This window comes from Homo sapiens, chromosome 8 (genome assembly GCF_000001405.40).
Source record: "Homo sapiens chromosome 8, GRCh38.p14 Primary Assembly".
NCBI classification, from domain to species: Eukaryota; Metazoa; Chordata; class Mammalia; order Primates; family Hominidae; genus Homo; species Homo sapiens.
Genome location: NC_000008.11, coordinates 13,867,718 through 13,873,922, shown reverse-complemented (window position 1 = coordinate 13,873,922; position 6,205 = coordinate 13,867,718). Strand labels below are relative to the sequence as shown.

Genomic DNA, 6,205 nt, shown 5'->3' with positions numbered 1-6,205 from the left:
TGAAACAATAAATTCCTCCTGCAGAAAATTATATCCAAATGTTGTACATACTTTATTGGATTTATGACAGATCCAGTCAAGAAAACCATGAAACAAGATTGTGGCTATCGCAAAATAGGTAGCGAGTGAAGTCTTTCAAGATATGGATCTTGGAGAGATTCAAGAGCTAATAGACCACACACAAGAAGAGTTAATGGAAGACAAATTGATGGAGATGAGTGCTTCTGAACCAGGGCCAGACAATAAGGGAGAAGATGTAGAAGCAGTGTCAGAAAAGAAACTGACATTAGACAATCTAGCAGATGGGTTCGGATTATTCAAGATGATTTAAATAATCATGTCATTATCTTTACGATACGATCCCCCTGAAACTAAAGCAAATAGTAGAAGAACTGCTACCTTATAGAAACATCTTTATAGAAATAAAAAGTCAGAAATTACAAACTATTTCTCTAATGTGACACTGCATGTGCCTGCCTCTCTCGTCTCCCCTAGCCCCTCCTCCACCTCTTCCACCTCTGCCACCCCTGAGTCAGCAAGACCAACCCCTCCTCCTCCTCAGCCTACTCAACATGAAGATGATGAGAATAAAGGCCTTTGTGATAATCCACCTTCCTTAATGAATACATATATTTTCTCTTTCTTATAATTTTCTTAATATTTTCTTTATCTAACTTTATTAAAATAATGCAGTTTATAATATATATATATATATATATATATATATATATATATATATATATATAACAATATGTGTTAGTTAACCGTGTTTTCACTGAGGGTGTCAATCAACAGTAGGCTATAGTAGTTAAATTTTGGGGAATTAAAAGTTATAAACAGATTTTCAACTGTGCTTGGGACTGGTTTTTCTAACCTCCCCACTGTTTAAGAGTTAACTGTGTATATAAAATATATACAGAAAGAGAAAAACAGAGAGTGGAAGAGAGAGAGAGAAAATAGGTCCCAATATGTAAAATATTGTAGAAAAATAGTATTTCATCAGTTTATTTGCTAACACTTTTCTCTATAATCTATATCAATATAAATTTCCATAGAATGTGCCAAGAAGATGAGACAAGAGTTGTTTTTCTAGTACTGTTCCAAAGAAAAGGTAAAGATATTTTTGTACATAGTTATAAAACGTTTTAAAATAGCTCAAGGTATCCCTAGCTCTAGCTCAATCTTCTTTTTGTTACAATCAGATTTTAGCCCAATTTTTCCAACACCTTACCTGTTTATTTACCTCAAGGACAGTGGTTCTAGTATCACCCAGTGGTAGAATATATTATGGATATGTCAATACCCAGCGACATGTAGGACTACAGTATTCATAATACATTTCATATATTTCTTTAACAGCAGAGGCCCGGTAATTTAAAATAGAATTGGCAGCTAACACAGGAGTGTGAAATCCATGTTGGCATCAACAGAGGGTTTTTCATATTGCTTCTTAGTCACACTCTCAGTTTTTCCTTTCACTGCCCTGGTGTAAAATATTCTTTCCTTTTTTTCCTTTAACAGGTGTTACTAAGAGTCAGTTTCCATGCTATGCTCTTTGTTGAATTTTTAAAAGATATTTAACCTTAGCAGAGGTTTTGAAGAAAGGCTTCTCTGTGGGAACTAAATGTTATTTTACATCAGTCACATTAGGATTCTTATGGTTATTTTCCATTTTATGCAATCTGTAGAGGTCTTCAGCATCAACAAATAGAATGGTCATGTATTCTAACAATGTTGGCTGTTTAAATGCCATTTTCACTACATTTACATTCTTCAACAGCACTGAAAGTGAATTAGTATAAGTTGTCATAAACACAGTGTGCTGTGTTCAAACAAGAGTTTAATCAGACTGACTAGGACAACTCTGCTATTCTTCATGCATTTATTCTGTTGTATGAGAAATTTCGACCTTGGGAAATGGGGGAAATTCACTGGAATAACCTATATATCAAACTCAATGAGTAGAAGTACAAGTAGATATGTTAATTATTTCAAGAGAATCCATACAGTTCTCCCAGAAGCTTACGGAGAGAAAGAAGTAACTCAGGAAGGGGAAAACAAGCAGAATCATCGGTGGATTTCTTTTTCAAAACCTCAAAAATAAGAGAAATAAGAACACTAAAACGTTAGCCAAATAGAATTAGATGTCCCAAAGTCTGCACTAATACATACAAATGAATTAAATAGTACTCAGATTGAGGCAGACACAGACACAATCCAAGAAGCTCTACACTGCAGAAAAAGGATAATCCCCCCAAGCGACCTGTAAAATGGTTAACCTAAGCCTGTGTGCTTGAGAGAGTCTAGGGATTCTCCAGACCTGGTCATTCTCCTACTTACTTGGTTAATGTCATCATAGAATAAGGCTCAGGGAGGCACATATCTGTGTTGTTTTACCTGATAAGTTCTCCACAGCAAAAAGCCACAGAAAAACCAAGGATAGAGTAACTGCAAACACTCCCTCTCCGGGTGACCCATATAAGGTGCTCAGAGTCAATCATTTTGGGCAGACTGCTACTTTAATGTGTTTCTACCCCAACTAACACCTAGAAAAATGGAGAGTAAAGCAGGGAGACTTGCATATTTTACTCATTCATTCATTCATTCAAGAAATATCTATTATGTGATCAGAAGATTTGCACTTCTAGTTACCCATTATACTGGACAGTTATGTTTCATTGTTTTATGCACATCAGCTATATTGCATTATAAAGTGAGAGAAAAACACACAGTGGAAGCAGAAAACAATATAATGGTAACAACAGAAAACCGAAGAGGCAAATTAAAAGAGAAACATGAAAAAAAAACCCACAGGATTAATTAAAAGAGGCAGAACGTCCAATAGATGGTGGAAAACATGTTTAAAGAGGATAGATATAAGAATCCAAAAATACATCAAAGGACAACAGATGCAGGAAAATAAAATATGGTTTGAGTTGAGAAAAGACTGGAGTTTTGAGCCCAAATTACTCAATTTACTGGGCAAATTATTGCTCTAGTTTTATCCCCCAAAGTTCAACTTGATTGAAAAGAAGGTAATTCTACAAGATTACTTTCAGGGAAATTAAAAAAAAAGTCATTATATCTAGATAGAAAATAATCACCCAGGGTGGCATTCTTCTTCTCTTATACTATGTGGAAACTGAAAGATTATATACCAAGTGTTGAGAGGAAAAATATTACTACTCAAAAGGAGTACACATAATAGTTAATAATATAAGCATCCTGAAGAAGTTCATGTAAAACTTACACTCTGATAAAATTCATTACCCAACGTGGGTCCAATCATTTCTTAGCAACTTCACTGCTACATTCATATACCAAATTCTCATTAGCATTATCTGGATTATTGTAATAGCTTTTTAACTGGTCTCTCTGCTTACATCCTAAAATTCCTATGATCTATTCTCATAAAGTGTTCAGAGTGGTCTTGCTAAAATTTCAGCTAAAAAATAAAGTTTTACTCCTCTCTTTCAAGTACTTCAGTAGTAATATATCTCACTCATTGTAAAATCCAAGTTTCTCAGGCTGAACTACAAGATCCTAAAGGATCTGATCTACATTTGTTCTCTTGTCTCATCTACAATCCATCTTCTCTCCCATAGCATGCTCTAAGTACCGTGACCTTCTGGAGCATGCCACATTTAAGACTGCCTCCAAGCCATTCCCTTTCCTGTTCCCTCTGTTTGAAATATTCTTTCCCCAAATTTCCAAACGGCTCAGTCCTTTAATATCTCAGATTTTTACTGTATTATAACCATGATATTAACTGGTGACTTCCGTGGTTTCAAACCTTTAATCCGCTTTTTGAAACATTCCTTATCTCCTTTCCTCCTTTAGTTTTCACCATGCGCTTTTTTTTTTTAACATAGGACTTGTGTTATTTATTTATTTTAGGTCTGTTGCCTTGGCTAGAACGTTAGTAACATAGGAACTGTGACTTTTGTGTCTTTTGTTTACTGCTGCATACAAATGCCTTGAATTTGATTTGATATACACATAAGCTTGTTAAACATTCATTGAAAGAATAAATTTTTGGCCAGGTGCAGTGACTCATGCCTGTAATCCCAGCACTTTGGGAGGCCGAGGCAGGTGTTATCACCTAAGGTCTGGAGTTCGAAACCAGCCTGGCCAACATGGTGAAACCCCATCTCTACTAAAAGTACAAAAAAATTAGGCAGGTATGGTGGTGGGCACCTGCAATCCCACCTACTCAGGAGGGTGAGGCAAGACAATCACTTGAACCTGGTGGGGTGGAGGTTGCAGTGAGTGGAGATGGTGCCATTGCGCTCCAGCCTCAGCAACAAGAGTGGAACTCCATCTCAAAAAAAAATAAAAATAAATAAATACAAATAAATGTTTAAAAATCGATATCCAATTCTCATACATTAATAAACCAAGGTTATATGCCTAATGTGATAAAGATTTTCTATCTCAAAAAAAATAAAAATCATCACATTTGGTGGAAAAAGTGGTGGTTAGATTCCAAAAATAATTGGAGACTGCATACCTCAAGCTGGATACATTACAGTCCAGATTAGTGATCTCATTATCATTGATGTTCACTATCATTTATGGAACTTGTAGCAAATGCCACTAGATAAATAAATAGGCACTTCTATGAAGCAGAAGATAAAATTATCTTCTTCTGTAAATATGGTTATCATCTACCCTGAAAGCACTAAGGAGATCAATAAGAAAAGTAAATGATGTCTAATAAATAATAGCAAATGGGACTAGGTCCAGAGTACAAATAAGAAACTCCCTGGGGACTCGCAGTACAACTTGGGTTCATTGTGAAGTAGGCTGAAGTTTCTACAGATGAGGCAAAAATATAGTTAATGAGGTATTTTATTCTGGTTCTTAGTGTTATCGTCTCAAAATGTATCCCCTGGGTAGGAGGTGCCTGGATAATATGGATGATTCTTCATGAATTCTGAGTGAATGGTTTATCTTTTCTGATTTTCCTCACATAAAGTTCTCTGTTTTCTTATTTTAGGTATTTGTTCTCCTTTGAACAACCTTGTTTTCTTTTTCCTGTGCATCAGTTAGAATTGCAAAGAGTGTTTTAAAACGCTATCAGGACAATACTGGTAGCCTGGGGAATAGAGAAATGCGCACCCTCATGGTCAAAGAAAATTTTCTTGTCAGAATGTTGATTTCTTCCAATTAAATTTAGTAGCAATGCACATGACTCAATGTCGAGGAATAAGGTCCCCTCCTAGGCACTCATATGAAACGAATCATCCTCAGAAATTAATGACTCACAGGTTTAGACCTCAGTTAAGCTGAATCAAACTTAGCAACAAAAATCAAATTACTCTGACATCTTTCTAACTAATTTGTTTGGGTGTTTAAAAAACTCATTTGTATTATATTCTTCCTCATGCTTTTATCTTATTGGTATCTTATTGGTATTATGACATTTCTTTGGGACGCTTTAAGGAAGTTTATTTTCTAGCAGACAGATCATTTTAAATTTGTAATGATATTATATTATATATTGACTTACAAGTGCATCCTGCATTACTAGTCAGCGCTCGTAACCAAGTTGCATTCATTTTTTGATAAGGATTCCTACTTATTCTATGAAAGTTATTTAATTCACCACTTATTTTATTATTCTGCCTTTTAAACATGTTACTAATTAGTCCTCTTTGAATTACGGTCATTATTTTACCTGACATATATGTACATTCACTTACCCTATTCTTATTGTTTTTGTGGATTGAATTGTAATTTTCTTTTCTAAAGTAACCACAATCTTATTTCCTGACATAATCAGTTACCTAATGACAATGACCACCTGCTTATTCTATTTCACTGTACTAGGATTTTTAATGTGTTTATAGATTCTAACAAAAACCATTAGTTAAATTTAGAGTACACTAATTTATTATTTTCTTATCCTTTTTGAGATGGAGTCTTGCTCTGTTGCCCAGGTTGGAGTGCAGTGGCTCAATCTCGGCTCACTGCAACCTCTGCCTCCTGAGTTCAAGCAATTCTCCTGCCTCAGCCTCCTGAGTAGCTTGGACTACAGGTGCACACCACCACACCCGGCTAATTTTTGTATTTTTAGTAGAGACGGGGTTTCACCATTTTGGCCAAGATGGTCTCAATCTTCTGACCTCGTGACCACCCACCTCGATCTCCCAAAGTGCTGGGATTACAGGCATGAGACATGTCGCTCGGCCCTATTTATTAA

General features: G+C 35.5%; 1 annotated feature.

Moving 5' to 3' along the window:
- Nucleotides 5,761-5,930: an enhancer, noted in NCBI's record as "experimental_101305 CRE fragment used in MPRA reporter constructs". NCBI's record gives its function as "activates a minimal promoter by MPRAs in K562 erythroleukemia cells, with activity observed for the introgressed 8:13725587 variant allele {active_cell/tissue: K562}" and the evidence as "EXISTENCE:reporter gene assay evidence [ECO:0000049][PMID:34662402]".